At 39.7% G+C, this 22,482-nt stretch overlaps 1 protein-coding gene across 2 annotated transcripts in view, besides 2 other annotated features; it reads right to left on the reverse strand.

Annotated features, from left to right (window-relative positions):
* RERE (arginine-glutamic acid dipeptide repeats) overlaps window positions 1–22,482 on the reverse strand; it is a 465,237-nt gene that overhangs the window by 281,883 nt on the left and 160,872 nt on the right. For both annotated transcript variants that reach the window (NM_001042681.2, NM_012102.4), the window contains one exon: window positions 21,687–22,155. In NM_001042681.2, the coding sequence (NP_001036146.1) occupies window positions 21,687–22,011 (325 nt within the window). In that variant the 5' untranslated portion in view covers window positions 22,012–22,155. The remainder of the gene's footprint in view (window positions 1–21,686; window positions 22,156–22,482) is intronic.
* Window positions 9,363–9,492: a silencer, noted in NCBI's record as "silent region_197". NCBI's record gives its function as "represses an Ori minimal core promoter by ATAC-STARR-seq in GM12878 lymphoblastoid cells {active_cell/tissue: GM12878}" and the evidence as "EXISTENCE:reporter gene assay evidence [ECO:0000049][PMID:35858748]".
* Window positions 17,757–17,836: an enhancer, noted in NCBI's record as "active region_108". NCBI's record gives its function as "activates an Ori minimal core promoter by ATAC-STARR-seq in GM12878 lymphoblastoid cells {active_cell/tissue: GM12878}" and the evidence as "EXISTENCE:reporter gene assay evidence [ECO:0000049][PMID:35858748]".

Raw genomic sequence — 22,482 nt, forward strand, 5'->3', positions numbered from 1 at the left:
TTACTAACGTATCACTTCCCTAAATGAGAGCAATTTCTCCCCACAAAATGAAGGATCAAGGGCTAAAATCCTTTCTACTTTTTTTATCTTGCAGTACCATACCACTATAAAACATCTTCTACAAAGTTGCAGGCACAGAAGACTGTGCTCTTGTTTTATTGGCTGATTGTTAAAATGCTACTAATACTATAGCTGACATCTAATACACTTCATTAAATTCTACCAGCTTACTTGAAATCTATTACAGTGTCAGCAGGCTTCAAATTTAATTGTTTGCTTTAGTTTATATAAACTTGAAAGGGCAAATGAAACCTGTTCCCTGACTCTCGAAATCTACCCATACCTACTCCTTCTCTCCCTTAAATCGTTGTTGTTTTCATTCGGGTTTTTGTTGTCATTGCTGTTGTTTGGGCAGGTCTTACTTCTTCTAATTGAAGTCAAAGAATAAAGATTTACTTATTTATTTAGAGACGGAGTCTTGCTCTGTCACCCAGGCTGGAGTGCAGTGGCGCGATCTCGGTTCACTGCAAGCTCCGCCTCCCAGGTTCAAGCCATTCTCCTACCTCAGCCTCATGAGTAGCTGGGACTACAGGTGCCCACCACCACGCCCGGCTAATTTTTTGTATTTTTAGTAGAGATGAGGTTTCACTGTGTTAGCCAGGATGGTCTTGATCTCCCGACCTCGTGATCCGCCTGCCTCAGCCTCTCAAAGTGCTGGGATTAGAGGCGTGAGCCACCGCGCCTGGCCTGAATAAAGATACTTTAAGAATAATTTAAAACATCAAGACACTTTCCTATGACAATAAATATTGAGACCTCATTTTTCCTTTAAAGATCTTCAGCCCACTGTGAATTACAAATGTCATTTTACAACTATTCAACAGGTATTTTGAAAAAACAATTCCACCTACACAGTAATTTCCAATCATCTATCTCCTTATGATTGCAATCATCCATCTCCTTATGATACAGTGATTTTGCTTTCTGAAATATACAATATACTCAGGATAAAAAGAATTCTAGGGTTGTAAGGGATTTTGTCTGGTAATCTGCTGTCCACCTGTCACTTTCATAATCAAAATTAGCACAGATTTCAGCAAGGTCATAGTATTTAAAGTATCTAAATGCTTCTTGATTCCTAAAATGAGACGAGAGCTTCTGTTTATTGTTCAAGCCCTAAGAGGCTCTGGATGCTTTCTATATGAAACCGTATTCACAACAGACTTCGTTCAACAAATGAGTGCAGCTGCTCTAGGCCAATATAACACTTAATGAGAGTGTTGCTTTAGCATGCTCCTTTTGTAATCTGTACCTTGGAAAAATTACGTTTTGAACATCTGCGAAGACAAAATGTATGAGAACTTTGGGAGGAAAAATTAAGACTTCCCCATTCTAAACAAAGTATATGAAAGACCCTTTGTCTTATAGGCAAGTCTTGTCAAGGTTACATTAAAAATAAAGAATATGAAGGATTCTATAAGGAAAAGAATCATAATCTCATAAAAACATTCACACACAAACTGACTGGGCACCACTAATGTGCCACGTAAGTGCTGGAGATGCTAAGGCGAAAAAAACACTGTCCTTCCCTTGACAAGTTCACAATCTAATATAAGAGGTAGACATGGAAACAACTGTATGTCTTCAATTATTATTTTATTTTATCTTATCTTATCTTATCTTATCTTATCTTATTTTATTTTATTTTATTTTATTTTTAAGACTGAGTTTCACTCTTGTTGCCCAGGCTGGAGTGCAATGGCGCGATCTCAGCTCACCGCAACCTCCGCCTCCCAGGTTCAAGTGATTCTCGTGCCTCAGTCTCCCAAGTAGCTGGGAATGCAGGCATGCACCACAACACCCGGCTAATTTTGTATTTTTAGTAGAGACAGGGTTTCACCTTGTTGGTCAGGCAGGTCTTGAACTCCCAACCTCAGGTGATCTACCCACCTCGGCCTCCCAAAGTGCTGGGATTACAGGCGTAAGCCACCGCACCCGGCCATCTTCAATAATTTTAATGGTTACTTATTTTTTTTGTCTCTGAAACAGGGACTGCTAGCTGGGCCCAATATTTATTCTCCCCTTCTTCCTTATTAAGAAGGCTGGGCATGGTGGCACATGCTTGTAGTCCCACATACTCAGGAGGCTGAGGTGGGAGGATCTCTTGAGCCCAGGAGTATGAGCCTGCAGTGAACTATGATGACCACTGCACTCCAGCCTGGGCAACAGTGTGAATCCTCATCTCAGAAACAAAGAAGCAATAATAATAATAACAATAATAATATTAAATAAAATATAAAAAAATAAAAAACATCTGGTACACAGTTGGACACATGGCCTCTCAGAATAAAGACACTTCCCAGCCTCTCTAACAGCTAACTCGGTCATGCAACAAAGTCCTAGCCATAAAATATAAGCAGACCTATAATATTTCAACTTCTGGAAACTGAATCCTGAAAAGTGGAAGCCTTGCTCTTCTTACTCTTCCTAGTAGTCTGAAGGCAAATGTGTGGGCTGGAGGTGGAGCAGGAGATAGAGCATGGGAGAACAAAGAGAATGGAGGCCACATACAATGGAGTAACAGAAGCTTTGCCTGTAGCTCAAGAACCAAGCCGAGAATCCACACCTCCTGATTCACAGTTCAGTATTTTCGGCCACTTTACTCAAATATTTTTATAAATTATTTTTAAATCGGCAAAATATTTAAATTTCATCCATTAAATTTAAATTTCTAGATGCCCTAGTGGCATCCAGAACACATATTTTGGGGAAAATATTCTAATTTTTTTAAACAGAAAAAGCTAGGAACAGATGATGCATTAAAAAGTAGAACACAGAGCTCTTAATTTAGAATGATCAAAATAGGTTGATTCAACTATTACCTTCTCCTAGGATTATGAATCAACCCCTAGCAGCAGACAAAGTCACAACTTCCTCCCCTAAGAGACTTTACAGTGAAGTCAAGTTCCTAGCACGACTCTACTATAAGGTTGCACAAGTAGGAATAAGTGATGTTAACCTCTCCTGCAGACTGCCTGGCATTCTTTGTGAGGGCAGGTGGATGGTGTCTGCTGGCACTACTCAGTCTCCCCTCTTTCATACTCCACTTCTGTACAGGTTTGATCAGGACTTGAGAGAGAATACATGACTGTTCTTCCACAAAAATATAGGGACTACCGACAAACAAATTTTCTAGAACATTGTATTATTTATAAGAGTTAAAGCTGACCAAAATCATACTATCCTAAATTCTCAGATTATAATCTATATTTTACTTCATATTAGAAGGACGATATCCTCTGTGATACCACAGCTCTACCTCCTTTCCACACCCTTAACCCGGGGACCAAAAGAAGAGCACAAAAATATGTCTGATCCACTCATGGTGGCAAAGATTTACCCTTCAAAGATTATACAAAGTCTCCTGTTCTATTGACACAACATTTCTCCAATTTCTCTTTTTTGTTGACATTAAAGTTACATAAGGACATTTCTTCAATTTCAAAACTACAAATTCAGTCACTTTTATAGGCCAAAGCCCTACGATACACTAGGGCTGGTTAGAAAGAAGTGTGAAACCTTTAAATGTCCAGACATACTAACTCAGTAATTCCATTCCTTAGGAAAGTGAGCTGAAATAAATTTATCGATATTCATCACTGCTGTTTAGAACGGAGAATATTTGGAAAACATCAAGTCCAACAACACAGAACTAGTTAAACTGTGGCATATAGCCATTAGCGTGTGAGCATGTCATATTTTTTTGTGCCATGGATGACTTTAGCATTCTATATACCTGTTCTTAAATAAATTTTTTAATGTACGAAAGCAACATATATTGAAATACTTATCATAATATAAAAAACTTGTAATATAGTAATATGTGTACTTTTTTGTTGATTCATTAAATAACAGGATTTACTAGAGGTCACTCCCTGAATAACCTCCATACTTTCAAAGTAATGTGGAATATAAACATTATTTTGAGATGTTTTTTCCATGTGATGTGATAGGAGAATACCTATAATTTATACTGATGTCATAGGCACTGCCAGTATTGCTGTGCTTATCACCTAGCTTCATAAATGAAGTGAATGCTGAATGTCATTTGACATTTGATGAACTGGTAAAAATAAAGATGCAATTTTTTCCTCACCCAAGTTCACAATCCCTTAAATTTGCCTTGGTTGGCCATATACCCCAGGTTATGAATCTCAGCATGAATGGCATACAAAGCAGCCAGAACAGTTCAGATTTACAAGTGGTGGCATGGAAATAAATTCAGGACATGTTAAGAACCACATCACAAAACTGCGAATAGCTTAACTCCATATACGTTCACTAAGAAAACTGACCATACAACAAATGTTAACAGTGGTTAAGTAGCTTCTATTTTAACTTTTACTTGTCCACATTTTTCAATTTTATTCCTTGAAAATGTATTATTTGTTCACCAAAAAGGGAAAATGCAGAAGGAAACTCATAGACGAAAAAAAATTTTTTTTTTTTTTTTTTTTTTTTTGAGATGGAGTCTCGCTGTCGCCTAGGCTGGAGTGCAGTGGCGCGAAGCTCCGCCTCCCGTGTTCATGCCATTCTCTTGCCTCAGCCTTCTGAGTAGCTGGGACTACAGGCACCCGCCAACACGCCCGGCTAATTGTTTGCATTTTTAGTAGAGACAGGGTTTCACCATGTTGGCCAGGATGGTCTCGATCTCCTGATCTCATTATCCTCCCATCTCGGCCTCCCAAAGTGCTGGGATTACAGGCGTGAGCCACCGCGCCCAGCCAAGAAAAATTTTTGAAGTCTATAGCCAAATATTATAAATGTACTCAAAGGGCAAAAGAAGAAGCAGTAAGTAAATTCAGGGGAGAGAACATAAAAATGGACCACGCTTAATCATTACAGAAGCTAAGTTAGAGAAACAACACTGAAAAGGGTGCTGGAAATCCGTACGTTCATGTATCAGATGCCACAGCACTTAGAATCCTGACAACTGGGAGATAATAGAAGTAAAACATATGACAAAACTGATGGTCTCTACAACAGCCAGCCTCCACCAATCCTGACCTAAATGCCAACTGCAATCTTTAAAAAGCTTGCGCTCCATGATGCCAAATATCTATTTTGGGGATAGCTGCTGCAGACTTCAAAATCATTCTGGTTTATAACCCTGAAAGATAGCTCCGAGTTTTTCTCCAACCAAATATCTTCCAGCCAGTCCAGAGAATAAACTGGAAATCAAGTCTCCATTGTCTAGTTAGAAACTGAGTTATATAACTCCTTGCAAGGAAGAAATATCATCTCCCCAAGTCTGAGTGCTAACAGAGTAATTACCAGATGCAAACTTCAAAACCTTATGTGTATTTCTATGCTGTGAAATAGTGGTAATTAAACTACTACTTTTCAGTTAAACTGTTCCTAAGGATGTAAAAATACAGCATACCAGGTGAGACCTTTTTGTGACATTTCCTTTCCCTCTACTAAAAAGGAAAAATTATAATTATACACAGTATTACTAACATTGCCACAATCAATTTGGTAACTGCACAGTAGCTATGTTTTATAATACCAGCACAATGGGATGGCCAGGACAAGTAAAGTCTAAAAACTAAATACTGTCTAATAATAATGATAGCCTGCTTTAGAGCCAAGTTATACAGAGCTTTACAAATAGAGCCCAAATTAAAATGTTAATGAAAAAATTAAGAATAAAAAGCACAGCTAGGCATGGTGATATGCACCTGTGATCCCAGCTACTTGAGAGGCTGAAGTGGGGAGGACTGCTTGAGCCTGGGAGGTGGAGGGTACAGTGAGCCAGAGATTGCACCATTGCACTCCAACCTGGGTGACAGAGTAAGACCCTGTCTCAGAAAAAAAAAGAATAAAAAACAACATATTGAAATTATGCTAAAAATCTGTATCATAAACTCACTCCACTTTCCCTTTCTAAAAGAGAGGTATAACTATAATCAAAGCTCCCCTCCCAACTTTTTTTTTTAAACTATATGAATCTCTATTGATCAGTCTACAGTGAGACACTAACACTCCATCTGTCAAGTATCAACATCTGTCCAACACAAAGAAAGCCAGAACAATGCCTGCAGCCTTCAAAGGGATATAAAACTGTACCTTTGCCTTTTAAAGTTTGGTTTATCATTTTACACATTACACTATCACTCTGTACATAACTGAAAAGGCATTCCTTGCAAACATAACTGAATAGGGAAATCTAGAGATGTAAGTCAGAAAACACATTTAGGGGTTAAATGAGTGAACAGTGGTGGAGTATCTTTCATATGTAACATATACTATGATGCCTAATTAGCTTGAGTACATTTTTAATGGTGAAATAATGAAAAAGACTTAAAGGTACTGGATATTTAATGCATATATAATGACAAATAGTCATTATGTATGAATTCAATGGACTTGGTAAAGTGACTAGAAATTTACCCATTTCCAGGCATTTAAGCATTCACTTAAAAGAATGAAGTGACTAACTTACCTTCTCCCATCTATCTCTGGTACTTACAATACGCATTATAAAACTCAGACTAATACTAAGGAAGGAGTAAAATAGTGAAGCATTTATCCTCACTTTTTCTAGTATTTAGGGTATTCACATAGCTCCAAAGTAAAATTCATGCACAGCCATCTATTCTGCAGTATTTAAAACTTTTTAAAACAACAAATCACTCTTGTCCACATACATTTTAAAGTAATTTAACAAACAAAATACACTGCTCCATCTTCATAGACAGTATTTTTAATTTTGGAAAGTCTGGTTTTCTCAGCTGGTGAAGCTGTCAGAATAAATAGAAGGCAATATCTGGAAAGATGACAAACACATGGGTCAATGTCAAATACAAGCCAATCTCTGTCAAGAAAAAGAGCCAAATTCCTGCATTTCCATTTAAATTACGTTATCCAACTCAAATACCACCATGCCACTTCAAATGAAAATAGTTTCCCTTTAAACAGAGCTTTTTACAAAACTGATAGAGTATAACAGATTAAACAACTCTTTCAGCAATTTTCTTAGCTACTACAAAGTAAGGCATCTATGTATAATTATAATAAGGGGAACATTTAACAATTAATTGAGCCAGCTAAAGCTAAATCTCCAGAGCTTAGGAGTTCAAATGCTTGCTCACTAAGAAAAAAGGACAGAGGATTTTAATATAACTGCAGGAAATCTCAGTCCAATTAGATTCTAGGTAAATATAAATCTTGTTGCACTGTGATTGGAACTCTGTCACAGTCCTCCGGACTGATTTTAGCATCTGGCTTGGAGAGTCAAACCAAAGAACTCCTTGCCCCACTGTTTCTCTCCACACACTACTGAATTAATCAAGTACCTCCAGGTTCTGTGCTGAACAAAGAAGGTCTTCTGAAGGCTGTCAGCTTGCTTTTACAACCAACCAATAAGACTCACAGAACATATCATACAACTGTGAGGCAGTAACATCTCTGAAAATATTCATGATTTACCCTAGTTTATCATGGCGACACCTTAAGTAATTCACTGTCTTTCCTCATTCAGAATTAGATCACGTGAGGCCAGGAGCCATCCCCTTTTGGAGTTTTGATAATGGAGACTTAGCAACTATCTTTCAAACCAAGGAGGATTAAAAATTAAGTAATCAAATTAACTAGGGTGGCAGTTCACTTCCTTAACTTAATATACATCTTTTATCTCTGTGAAGATCTAGAAAAGTGCAGAAGGATTTAACAGAATCAAAAGTATCGTATTAACATTTTGGGGGTCAAAAAATCAGGATATATTTTATATTTTAAATAATTTTATAGTTGAAAGAATTTGGTCTGTTAGAAACTGGCCTTGTAACCCCAATCTAAAACCCCAATCTAAAACAGTAACACTTAACAAGGATTTTAATATAGGACTGGCCCTTTCTGAGTTCCGCACCTATGTGCTTGTGTATATACTTATTTAATCCCCATCACAATTCTGGAGGTAGGTACTCTTATCCCCATTTTATTGATGAAAAGACAAAGGCACAGAGGCTGTCCTCTACTCCACGTTAACCCACCAGCAGTGGGGTACTAGATTATGCTGTCCTTTCTCCCTCTGTGTAACTGATTCAGATTTGTGGTCAAGATGAAACCTAAGGAAGTTTATGCACAACACTGAAACATCTAAGAGAATTTTTTAGGGCTGTTTCACTTGTAAGTCTAATTAACTTATAAGAAGAGTTAAGTACTTGAGGTTTGTGTTAATAGACTTTTTAAAAATAGAAACCAAATATTAAATTAGTAAAGGCAAGCTTAAATGTTGAAGATATTAACGAGTTTATAAACAAGACTAATTTGTAATTCAAAATCCCTTAAAAGTGATTAAAATGTTTAATTTATAAATGAGATTTATAAGCTGAATTTTTTAAAAAGTGTAACAGTGTCCTTCAATTTGCAACTTTAACAAATTGAATATCAATTTTTTTAAACCTAGGTAAACCTTCTGGACAGTCATTTCTGCATATAAATATCAATCTTAAGGACTCTTCCCAAAAAGTCCTCCCATCAACTGCTCTGTGCACATGTCTCCTACTCAACTGCTAAAGGAAGAACAGCTGAGACAATGCTACCCAAGAGAGGCACCTAGGGCTAAGCACTCACATCTAGCAGCTAACTCTGCCTGCGCTAATAGGTATCTAGGGAATGAGTAAGTGCCTAGAATGTGCTAGACACTTTTCCAAGTACCTGGGATACATCGGGGAAAAAGATCCCTGTCCTGCTGGAACCAACCAGCATGGAAAAAGACACACAACAGAAATGGAAATGGAAGATGCCATGGGTGTGAGTGACTGTGAAAGGTGGGGGGATCCAAGAATTGAAAATCCTAGTGGGCTCAAACAATTTCTGGATCAATTGGCCCCAGGAAGGTGGAAAGTTAAGAGGTAGAAGAGTGGAATCCATGAGTAGGTCATCACCAGGCTGCATTCCTGAATCTGATCATTAATTGCTCATAAAAATACCTTCAAAGATTGACCTTTCAACATGTTTTTGCTCATTATTGAGCCCAATTTTTAAACAGCCACCTAAAGAACATTTCTGTTTCCTCTGGAACACAGTTTTTGAACACACTGTGGTTCACTGCTTCTTATGTAGATATTTCTGCTATAACACAATATATGTTACTGGGAAGACCACATATTCAGCAAAAATGTTCACTAAAAATGAAAGGACTTACGTAAAATACAGGGTAAAAAGCAGACTACTCAAACCCTATGCAACTCTGAAATCAGATGGCTATTTTGTTAAAAATCAATACTTAAGAAATAAGAAACCCAGGCAGTTACCCAAGAGTGGCTGCACGCTGCCAAAGGTGATACTGAGAATACATGAAAACAACAGATGCTGGCTTGAAGGCACCAAAACAATGCAGTAATCTGGGGGTTTTTGTGAAGGTGAGCACAGCAGACAGGGCAACCTGCCACAGAGCATAATGTTAGCGTGTGCCTCTCTGGGGAGGGAACCCCAGGGGACAGGTGTTCATTTTTCATTTCATTTTCAATAGAAATGAGAAAGCTCCTGCTGATGCAACAGCCAGAGTGAAAGTTTAAATTCTCACCTATTTTTTTCCTTTCCTGCTAAAATACAATCCCACATTATACCATTAAAGTATATATTATAATTCTATTCCATCTGGTCACACTCCTCTTGCCTAGCAAAAGTTGCACATGAACCAGCATAAAGTGCACATTCTATTGACCTCACTGTTCTATTTACTTACCTATCACACACAAAGCAAAACAAACTATTGCTAAATATCCATATGCAATAACAAGGTCTCATGGCCAGCCCACATCTATTTCCCCTACCAAACTGCTTCCCAAGCTCATTGTGGGGAATAACTTTAGCCCCATCATGTGCAGGCTTGGGAAAGCAATCAATCCAGGTTTCTGTCTTTTTTTATACAAGACATGTGCATGCAATTCAAGGTAGACATACTATATTTACTCTTTTGGAACTGTGAATCTTGAGCTGAGTGACAGCAAGGACAGGAAGATCCTGAAGGGCCCTATTCCAGTTATAGCATGTGGTTGGAACGGTCAGTAGTTCCCGCCAACCAAGTACCTGAACGCTCTCGTTCCAAGTAGGTTTTGGAGGCTTTTTTCCAGCTTCCCAACCATTATGGGGGAAGCCTGTAATTATGTGAGCCACTCTAACAACACATTGCCCTTTGTGTTATGTGATCAATGTACACCACCTTGCATCAAAAAACTTTTCATGCATACAACATGCTTGCTTTTTATTAGATCATAGAAAAATGTGTATTTCTCTTTCAGTTACTTAGGGTTCAAAATCCAGTAATCACCATTAGCCTATGTATTCTTGAACAATTTACTACTCACCTTCTCAGCTTACTTCCCATAGTTTCCTTATGGACTATGTTGCCCAGGCTAGCCTCAAACTTCTGGGCTCAAGTGATCCTGCCAACTCAGTCTCCTGAGGAGCTGGGACTACAGATGCTCACCACTGTGCCTGACTAGACATACAATTTTTGGCAACAGGAGAGCTATAAATAATTTTAGGAGTAAAAGGAGAAAAGAGAAAAAGAGCAAAGTAATTATATCACTTGCATTTTCGAAGAAATCAGTCTATCTCTTCTTTTTTCTTCCACACAGGTTATTTGTTTTTTGTATTCTCTTCAGGGTTTTATGCAAATGTCCGTTCATTCTTGGCTTTAACCAGTTCTCACAGGCCCATACCATTTTACAAACCAGCTGTGTGACTTTGGCCTCCATGTCTTTGTTTCCTCATCTGTACAGCAGGGAAACAATGTCTAGGTTGTATAGGAATTTTCTAAGGACTAGAAATTACACACTCAAAGCAAATCCAGTAGATAGAAGGTGCTTTAAAACTGGTTGTCACCCATGTTGTAGCTCCCTTACTATTTACAGCCAAGTTCACAGTGCCCTTTGCAATCAGGCACTTTAGAAGATGCAAATTATTCCCAATAATTTGGCCAGAATGTAATTCTGCAGCCACCTCTGTTCTTCTTGAACTGCATGCATCATATTTTAACGTCAAAATCTCAAGCCATGAAATCACATATTTTTTCTCTAATTTTTGATCTGCCTAATTTGTAGTCTGCCACAGGTAAGTGACAAGCATGCTGGGTACTAATCCTCTCACCTCATGCAATGGACTCATTTTATATCTGCGTTAGCTTGAAAAAGACTGGGAAGCACTAATGAGTGATTAGTGACTCTCAAATCTAAACGTGTGTTTAAATCACCTGGACATCTTATTATATAAAACATGGATTTTGATTCAGCAGATTGGGGGCGGAATCTGAGATTCTGCATTTCTAACCAACTCCCATGGGATGCCAATCTGTGGCCAATGCTTGGTGCAGAGAACAACTACAGTACAGGTTTCATGATACTTAATGATCCTTTCCCTATAAAATCAAAAAAGATATGATTAATTTGTCTCAAATATCACTTCCCATTTCTCTAATTAGAATAACTTTAGTATTTTCTCTTTCCTCTATCCTCACGAAGTAATAAGTTTTTATGTGCTAAAGAATTGTCTTTCACATACGTGGAATTTGAATAACTTCCTAATATACATGAAAAGGCAATCAACTAAAAGATGAAATAAAATTTCAAAAGAAACAGAAGAAATTAAAAGTTAACTAATGTAATCCATAACTAAAAGTTCACTATAATGTGACTGAAAATAAGAACTACATTTTCCCAACTGTTCCAAAGACATACAACTAAGAGAACTGAGGAGATGTCACTCAAATGTGAAACACCTGAACCTGAGTCTACCTAACAACAAAGCTCTCAAATGTGAAACACCTGAACCTGAGTCTACCTAACAACAAAGCTCTTCCTGCCTGTTACAGGATGAGTTTGTCCTTCCCAAAATTCGTATGTTGAAGTCTTTACTCCCAATAGCTCAGAATGTGACCTTATTAAAGAACAGGTAAGGCCAGGCACAGTGGCTCATGCCCGTAATCTCAACACTTTGAGATGCTGAGGCAAGACTCCTGGCTTGAGTCCAGGAGTTCAAGACCAGCCTAGACAACAAAACAAGATCCCTTCTCTAAAAAAAAATTAGAAACTAGCTGGGCACAGTGCCGTGCACCTGTAGTTCCAGCTACTTGAGAGGCTGAGGCAGGAGGACCACTTGAGCTCGGGAGTTCAAGGCTTCAGTAAGCCGTGTTCATGTCACTGCACTGTTGTCTGGACAACAGAGTGAGACCCTTCCCCGCCACTCAAAAAAAAACAAACAAACAAAAAAAAAACAGGGTCATCATTGCCAATGTAACTAAAATAAGGACACATGAAAATATAATTACACTGTAGGTGTGATTAGTTAACATTAAGTAAGGTGAGCCCTAATCCAATATGACTGGCATCCTTACAAAAAGGAAAAATGTAGATAGACACAGAGATATGTACACAAAGAGAATGCTATGAAAGATCACCACTACGCTGCCACAAAGCAGCAAACTACTGTAAGCAAGGACAGAGGCTTGAAACAGATCCTTCCCTGGTGCCTTCAGAGGTAACATGAGGCTGGGTGGAGTGGCTCATGCCTGAAATCCCAGCACTTTGGGAGGCCAAGGTGGGCGGATAGTGTGAGCCAAGGAGTTCAAGATCAGCCTGGGCAACATGGCAAAACCTTGTCTCTACAAAAAATACAATTAGCCAGGCATGGTAATGCATGCCTATAGTCCCTGCTACTCAGGAGATTGAGGCTGCAGTGAGCAATGATCATGCCATAGCACACCATCCTGGGCGACCCTGTCTCAAAAAGAAATGAAAAAGAGGTAACACGACCCTGCCAACACCTTGCTGTTGGATGTGTGGCCTCCAGAACTGTAAGACAACATACCTCTGTTGTTTAAGCCACTCCATTTGTTATACAGCCACAGCATCCCTAACATACTAACACACAGCCACATTGTGTTTCCTCCCAAATAAGATTAACGTTGATTAAATAACATTAAAGATGATTGTGCAGATAGGCAACTAGGTCACAGAGGGTCTACAGTGCCAGGTTCTGGGAACAAACCTGCTGGTGAACAGGGAATACACTGAAAAGCTTTAAGCAGATTAATAATAGGTCTAATAAGTGCAACTGAATTTGTCACATGTCGGAAAAAAAACATTAAGCTCTGCCTAAAGATGCCTTTATGCTATGTTACACAAAAATATTCTTGCCATTATCAATAAAACTACCCCACCACAAAATATGAATGTTTCAAGAAGACACCTTCATTTGCATGTCACATCTATTAATACCTAAAATTCTTCTAAATATTGAGATGTAGATAAAAAGTTACAGATCAAATGAGCTTCTATTTAAAATATGTATGTGTGTGTGTGTGTGTGTGTGTGTGTGTGTGTGTGTCCCCTGGAACACCAAATACCACATCTTGGTTTTGTTTTATTTTGGGAAGGAAATGTTTGTCTGAGTAATTAATTGCCTTACAGAAGCTTTCGATGATTCAGAGAACTAAGGATGTGACACCACTTGCAGCCTCCACAGACCTCAGTGAAGACGCAGTAGCTAAATGTTAGGACCATTTGTTAAAATATCGGGGACTCCCTCCCCACTTTAAACAGTAACTTGATTGAATGGAAATTTTCCATTTAGAAAATAGTTGCATGTTATCTTTACTTTTTCTTTTAAGGCAAACTTTTACTGAAGTGTAATACATATACAGAGAAGTGCAAAATGCAGTAAATTTTCACAGAACAAGTCCATGTAACCAGTACCATAAAACGTAACATGGCCAGAACCTGGGGGTCCCCTTAATGTTCTGTTCCCTGTACCCATAGGGCAATCTCTCTCCTGACTTCAAACACCAAAGATTAGTTGTGGCTGTTTTAAAATTTTCTATAAAAGGAATTATACAGTATTATGCTCTTCTGTGTCCACTCAACATCATGTTTCATGTTGAAATCATTTACCTGTTTTTGCGATGGGGTCTCACTCTGTAACCCAGGCTGCAGTGCAGTGGTGCAATCACTGCTCACTGCAGCCTCAACCTTCCATGCTTAAGGGATCCTCCCACCTCAGCCTCCCAAGTAGCTGGGACTACAGGAGCACACCACCAAGCCCGGCTAACTTTTGTATTTTGAGTAGAGACAAGGTTTCGCCATGTTGCCCAAGCTGGTCTTGAACTCCTGGGCTCAATCTACCTACCTACCTCCACCTCCCAAAGTTCTGGAATTACAGACGTGAGCCACTGCACCTGACCTATAGTCATTTACTTTAAATAGGTTTTAGAAATAACGTATATTCCATTTTTATTCAAACTAGATCCTCAGGTTTCATTTTGCCTAGTTTGAATTTTTTCCAGCTTAAATTCCATTTGCATCAAAAGAAAATAACACTTAAGTGATCAAAGTAAACAATTCTAGTTTCCAGGGCATTTTTCCTCAAAATTGTCAAATAAAATGGTCAAATATTTTGCATCACCTAAGATTTCACAAACCACAAACTTATATACATAAATACATGTTTTGCACTATGTTCATGAAAGTAGAAGGAACACATATTCTAGGACTATAGGGTAAATAGGACAATCAAACAAAATTATCAGTTAATATGACAAAATGTTAAAAAATTAATACATACTTTTGAAAAAAAAAATACATTTCATTATCCAAATAGCAAGCAATACCAATATGCCAAAATAAAAAAAAAAATCTCACAATAATATGAAGTTAGTTTTTTAACCAGTTCTACCTACACCAGAAATAAAGGAATCAAATTTCCTAGAACCTAACTGAAAACAGTAGAAAGAAATTAATATGCCACCTACAGCAAACTCCAGAAATCAATATCCTATGCTAAAGAAGCCCAGAAGGAAAATCTGGCTGCACACAGCTGTGTAATAAATCAATTTGTTACCGTGACAGTCATCTCAAAACAGGAGTAATGGCTGACAGACAACAAAGAAGTTAGATCTGACTCAAGGACAATATACAATAGAGCCCCACAAGGTTTTTGTTTTGGTTTTATTTTTAAACAAGTCTGTTAAATCATTCATTGGGAAGTAATACAAAACAGACTTCCAGAAGTCTTATTCTAATTTTAACATCATCAATGAGTCAATAATTTTTTTTAATGTTTCTAGAAATTTCTTTATTCAACAAATATTATGGAATACAGGCTGGGCGCGGTGGCTCTCACCTGTAATCCCAGCAGTTTGGGAGGCCGAGGTGGGCAGATCACTTGAGGTCAGGAGTTCGAGACCAGCCTGGCCAACATGGTGAAACCCTGACTCTACTAAAAACACAAAAATTAGCCGGGCGTGGTGTCACACGCCTGTAATCCCAGCTACTCTCGAAGATGAGGCAGGAGAATCACTTGAACCCAGGAGGCGGAGGTTGCAGTGAGCTGAGATTGCACCACTGCACTCCAGCCTGCATGACAGGGCAAGACTCCGTCTCAAAAAAAAAAAAAAAAATGTATATATATTATGGAATACACACTATGTGTACACTATTGTCAGTAGATGGCAGGAATTCAATGATGAGTGGGGGAAAATAAGAATTGCTGTTTTTTTGGAGAAGGGAGACTTATTAATCCTAATAAAATTATTACTGTTCTAAGTGCTAGAAGAAAAGATACAAAAAAGGCTATAACAGTATTTATTAAGGAAATGTATTTGACTAACCTGGGAGAAAGGCAGTGACACTGGGGTGGCAGAGCTTAAGAAAAGATAAGAATTAAGTGTGTTACCGAGACGAGAAGAGCAAGTGCAAAGGCCCCGAGGCAGGCGGGAACATGGGCAGTGTAAGTAACAAAATCTATTATGCTGAGCTCCTAAGGACAAAATTAAGGTAATCCCAGAGTTTAGCAGCAAAGGTGAAAAAGACCTGGTTGTGACAACGCATGAGATTAAACCGTAGTGATAAATTCTAAATAATATTTAATTTCTCCATAAGATCACATGCTTCTAAACACTAAACAATTTAAATATAGCTTGGGACAGAAAAGTATGATTATATGAAAGCCTACCTTTATCCTCAAAGTATCCCTGCTATGCTCATTCTCAGTGACATTTCGAGAGGTCCCTATAATTTATACTTATTCTGAGTAGTAAAACCAATTCAGAGATGTAGAAAGCAATAAATATTTGAAAAATCTTAATTTGTGCTTTATATCCCATAGAAATAAATGAGTATTAAAGATCTATTCACTTGGAAGCGGTGGTTCACGTCTGTAATCCCAGCACTTTGGGAGGCCAAGGTGGGTGGATCACCTGAGGTCAGGAGTTCGAGACCAGCCTAGCCAATGTGGTAAAACCCTGTCTCTACAAAAAATACAAAAATTAGGCCAGGAGCAGTGGCTCACGCCTGTAATCCCAGCACTTTAGGAGGCCGGGGCGGGCAGATCACAAAGTCAGGAGATCGAGACCATCCTAGCCAACATGGTGAAACCCCGTCTCTACTAAAAACACAAAAATTAGCTGGGCATGGTGGCACGCGCCTGTAATCCCAGCTACTTATGAGGCTGAGGCAGGAGAATCGCTTGAACCCAGGAGGCGGAGGTTGCAGTGAGCCGAGATCGCACCACTGCCCTCCAGCCTGGCGACAGAGTGAGACTCCATCTCAAAAAAAAATAAAAATTAAATTAAATTAAATAAATAAATAAATAAAAATAAATTAGCTGGGTGTAGTGCCACGTGCCTGTAATCCCAGCTACTCAGGAGGCTGAGGCAGGAGAATTGCTTGAACCCAGGAGGCAGAGGTTGCAGTGAGTTGAGATCTCACAACTGCATCAAGCCTGGGCAACAGGCTGAGACTACGTCTCAAAAAAAAAAATCTACCATTTAAAAACTAGTAATTTGGCCAGATGCAGTGGCTCATACCTATAACCCCAAGACTTTGGGAGATGGAGGCAGGAGGATCACTTGAGGCCAGGAGTTCAAGACCAGCCTGAATAACATAGCAAGACCCCATCTCTACAAAAAAATTGTTAATAGGCCAGGTGTAAGCACACCTGTAGTCCTAGCTACTCAAGAGGCTGAGGCAGGAGAAGCAATTGAGCCCAGGAGTTCGAGGATGTGGTTAACTATGATCACGCCACTACCCTCCAGTCTGAGCGACAGAGTGAGACTCTCTGTTTTTTTTTAAGCTAGTAATCCATTGAAGATATCCTTTACAACATTCTCCACAGATCCTAAGCTTTTAAGATACAACTAAGCACACAGGATCTCTGCAAGTGGGTGAGGATAATGGTTTTTCATCACTAACAAAGGATGTTATTGTAGTAGTTTATATCAAGAAAGTAAAAGACCAGGTGCAGTGGCTTAGGCCTATAATCCCAGCACTTTGGGAAGCCAAGGCAGGAGGATGACTTGAGCCTGGGAGGTCAAGGCTGCAGTGAGCTGTGATCATACCACTGACAGCCTGGATGACAGAGCAATACCCTGTCTCAAAAGAAAAAAAAAAAAAATCAGGAAACAAAACAAAGGAAAGAAAAAACTCAACCCCCATCTGGGAATCTAATCACAGTACTCTGCTGGTTTTTTTGGTTTTGTTTTTTGTTTTTTAAGAGACAGTCTTGCTCTGTCACCCAGGCTGTAATATAATGGCATGTAGTTCACTGCAGCCTTAAACTCCTGGCCTCAAGTGATCCTCCCACCTGAGACTCTCAAAGTGCTGGGATTACAGGTGTGAGCCACCTTGCCCAGCCCAGCACCCTACTTCTGATTCTTCAGTTTAAGTAACCCTAAAGAACAGACAATATTTAACAAATACTCATTTAGAGAAAAAGCTGTTTGGAGAAGGCAGCTAACTCAGCTTCAAATCCATCACCAAAACGAAAGGAAACCACTGAGAAGGTCAAAGACAGTCTCCTTACCAAATAGACATCCACTGGACCTGGCAGGATGCAAAGGCACAGCCCCCACTCAAGCAAAAGGGTGCCTCACATGGAGCTGTCTTGCTCTGGGTGCCACGGAAATCTTCCAAACCATGTGTGGCCTTTATAGATCCTTCATAATACACTTAGCTTTCAGAGACAGCATACCTTTCTCACATGTCACAAAGGTTTTCAGATTCACTGAAACACTACCAGCCTCCACAAATACATAGTTCTTGCCCAAGCACTTTAAGAACCATTCTGTAAATAAGTCCTTAGCAATCTCCCTTCACATATTCTTCCAGACTCAAGAAGGGAGGTGTATTAGTCCATTCTCACGCTGCTATAAAGAACTGCCTCAGACTGGGTTATTTATAAAGGACAGAGGTTTAATTGATCCACAATTCCACAGGGCTGGGGAGGCCTTAGGAAGCTTACAATTATGGTGGAAAGAGAAACAAACACATCCTTCTCATATGACAGTAAGAGAGAGAAGGGCTGAGCAAAGGTGGAAAGGCCCCTTATAAAACCATCATATCCTGTGAGAACTCACTCACTATCATAAGAACATGATGGCGGAAACTGCCCCCATGATTCATTTATCTCCACCTAGTCCCGACCTTGACACGTGGGGATTATTACAATTCAAGGTGACATTTGGGTGAGGACACACAGCCAAATCATTATCAGGAGGACTTCCTATAATCATAGTTCACCACGCCCAGCTAATTTGTAAAAATTTCACTACAATCATAGAGCACTGCAACCTTGACCTCCTGTGCTCAAGAGATCCTCCCACTTCAGTCTCACAAGTAGCCGAGACTAAAAGCACACGCCACTGTGCCCAGATCCAAGACTGTTTGTGGTTTGTTGGTTTATTTCTATTTTTAGGGAGATACTCAGCAGAAACAGGGTGCCACAGTCCCATAAATGGGAAAAATAGCCGGTGTTTTTCATGTTAAAGAGGTTTCCTTAACTGTCGGGCTTCTTGGAGTCACTAATTCTGACTCTCTCATGAGGGAGACTGTACAGGCAGCATTTTCCACACATATTTGACTACTATTTTTGGTGAAATGTCCCCACTGACACCAGAATAACGTTCCATATTATAAATGCTGAGAAAGGTTAGCATTCAATACTGCACAAGGCAGCTTGCCTTTTGACAGTGATCCAAACTGTATTACCACATTAAATTGTTATCAAGAGAAAGGATAATAAAAAAGTAAATCTTTCCTTATACTGAAGTTATCATAATGTAATCTATATCTAAAAGAGTTGGCCAGGCGCGATGGCTCACGCCTGTAATCCCAGCACTTTGGGAGGCCGAGGCGGGTAGATCACGAGGTCAGGAGATCGAGACCACGGTGAAACCCCGTCTCTACTAAAAATACAAAATATTAGCTGGGCGCAGTGGTGGGCGCCTGTAGTCCCAGCTACTGGGGAGGCTGAGGCAGGAGAATGGCGTGAACCCGGGAGGCGGAGCTTGCAGTGAGCCAAGATCGCGCCACTGCACTCCAGCCTAAGCAACAGAGCGAGACTCCACCTCAAAAAAAAAAAAAAAAAAAAAAGGGTTAACATGTTTTGTTCCTTTCCCATGATTTAGATGTGCGTACGCCCTAAACAAGCAATCTGTGGTAACTCTGAGAGATTCTTCAGTCACTAAGAAATTCTTACTGCCCAATAGCTGAGTCTACATCAAAGATAAATACAGACAGTACTGTAACCTACACACATCATTTAATCGTTACAGCAGATTTCTAACTGCTCTAAAACCTCCACTCTGATCAATTTATATCACACAAATACCTTCTCAGTTAATCTCCAACCAAGAAATTGTAGCTGTGAATGCAAATTTGTCTGTATTAAGTTCTAGCACTGACTTTTTTTTTTTTTGCGGGGGGGAGGGGTGGAGACAGGGTTTTGCTCTGCTGCACAGGCTGCAGTGCTATGATGTGAACGGGGCTTACTGCAGCCTTGCCCTCCTGAGCTCAAGGGATTCTTCTACCTCAGCCTCCTGAGTAGCTGGGACTGCAGTCTCATCACACTCCCAGCTAATTTTTTACTGTTTTGCAGAGATACGGTCTCACTATGTTGCCCAGGCTGGTCTCCACACTACTCAAGCAATCCTCCCGCCGCCTCAGCCTCTCAAAGTGCTGGGATTACAGTCATGAGCCACCGTGCCCAGCCCCACTGACATCTTTTGAAATTTAAAAAACTCCTGTGTGGGAGAATGAAAATCTGGAACTTGACGTGAAGTTCATAACAGTAACAGCATTCCTCAGTAAAATGATTGTTCCAGATTATGGACATAACACAGTGAAGTATTTTAATCTCCTTCTCAGAAAAACATAAAAATGGGCAGCTTTAATCTGCTAATTACATCTCATACAAAATTCATGTCACTCTTCAACAGTAAAAGTAACTCAAACAAAATGATTTCACCTAGGTTTTACTGGCTTCTGTAAGAAAGGATCTTGTTTTGTTTTTTTTTGTTTTTTTTTTTGAGACAGGGTCTTGCTCTGTTGCCCAGGCTAGAAAGCAGTGGTGCAATCATGCTTCACTACAGCCTCGACCTCCCAGACTCAAGTGATGCTCCTGCCTCAGCCTCCTGAATAGCTGGGACTACAGGTGTGTGCCACCAGGCCCAGCTAATTTGTAAAAATTTTTTGTAAAGATGGGGGTCTCACTACGTTGCCCAGGCTGGTCTTGAACTCCTGAGCTCAAGCAATCCTTCTGTCTCCGCCTCCCAAAGTGCTGGGATTACACTGTGCCCAGCCTAAAAAAGGTGTCTTAATACACACAATACATCAAATGAAAAGGAAAGGCTTTGCTAGTGTTCAACAGGTTTTGACTCACTTGTTTCCCTGATCTCATCTAAAAGTTGAGTCTGTCTTTTTTTGAGCAATGCTATAAGCCACAATATACTGGTGTGACCATAATACATTTTCTGGAAAACCAAGCAGGTTAGATGACTACTTCTATTATTGTTGATTAGAGAGCCTGAAGCTCAAATTTTTGGAAAAGGAAGTTAGCAGGAGCAATACATCTCTGATCTTCAGGGCTTTTTTTTTTTTCTGAGACGGAGACTCGCTCTGTTGCCCAGGCTGGAGTGCAGTGGTGTGATCTCGGCTGACTGCAACCTCCACCTCCTGGGTTCAAGCAATTCTCCCGTCTCAGCCTCCCAAGTAGCTGGGATTAGAGGTGCACACCACCGAGCCCAGCTAATTTTTGTATTTTTAGTAGAGACAGGGTTTCATCATGTTGGTCAGGCTGGTCTCGAACTCCTGACCTCAGGTCACCACCCGCCTCAGCCTCCCAAAGTGCTAGAATTGCAGGCGTGAGCCACCATGCCTGGCCTAAAGGCCATTTTTAAAAAGTACCTCTCTAGAGTCTGGTCGATCCTGTCCCAAGGTAAAATTTCCTGTTTCCAAGAATCTTAAGGTTTACTTGTCTCCACCAAGCAGTCAATTCTGCAGGGTCACCACAGTCTCATTTATGATTGAAGATTAAAAAGCAAGCATGAATTCAAAAGACAAAAAAATACTAAGCAGATGGTCCAGTTAGAGAACAAGCAGCACAGGAAAATAAGAAAAGAACTCATGAATGCATAAACCAGGACACAAGAGCAAATTAAGGCAGACACAAGCAAGAAGTGGGTGAACCTAACTGACCAAAAGTGGGTCACATGTTTACCAAATTAAGTTTCCTACTCTTCTAGATTCCAAGCCTTCCTTAAAGTGTACAAAGCGTATTTATTTCACCATAATGCCAAGATCATTCCCCCACTGTAAACATTGGCAAGACCCAAACGTAAGGCTCCTTACCTCCTGGTCTGTAGACCACATCATCTTCAGTGATGTAGGATGTTATCTCACCGGTATCTGTCCTTTCATAACGAGACTTTTTTTTCGGTGGTTTCTTCTTATTCTTCTTCGTGGACTCCTCTGCGGTGGCACTATTGTTGTCATTGTCCTCGTCTTCACTGTGATCACTCTCAGCATAATTTTTGGCTCCTCCTTCCAAGGTACAGCTCCGGCGTGGCCTTGAATTCTCACTCTCTCTTGCTTTGTCTCTTTTCTCTCTCTCTCGGTCCCGGTCTCGGTCCCGGTCCTTCTCTTTGTCTTTGTCTTTGTCTTTGTCCGCTGTCATGATTCGCCACGTGCCTTCTTCTGTCCTCTCACGGCTAGGCCTCCGTGAAAGGTAGACAGTAAGCCTGGGCTTCAGTCTTCTGAATTTCTCACTCAATTCCAGGGAAAATCCAACCACTCCAACAACCCCAACGTTTCAAAAATGCTAGGAGAGAAAAAAGAATGGTTTTAACGCTTTTTCATATTTGTTTCCTAAAATAATGTTTTGTTAAATGAATCTCTTACTTATTCATGCTTTACACCTAAAAACTTCGCACAAGCCACAGGAGAAAAATTAAGTGTTAAAATTTAAAAACTACAGTTTTTGGTCTCAGCAAATGGTTTGGGGTTTTTTATGACACCAATAATAAAAACTGTCTGAATGCCTAAGAGTAAACTACACTTCCTCCACCTTACATGTTTTCTCCTTTTTAAAGAAAAAGCAAACCAATACCCTGGTAGACAACATATAATGGGTATTATTATACAAAAG

Source organism: Homo sapiens, chromosome 1 (assembly GCF_000001405.40).
Source record: "Homo sapiens chromosome 1, GRCh38.p14 Primary Assembly".
Taxonomy (NCBI): Eukaryota; Metazoa; Chordata; class Mammalia; order Primates; family Hominidae; genus Homo; species Homo sapiens.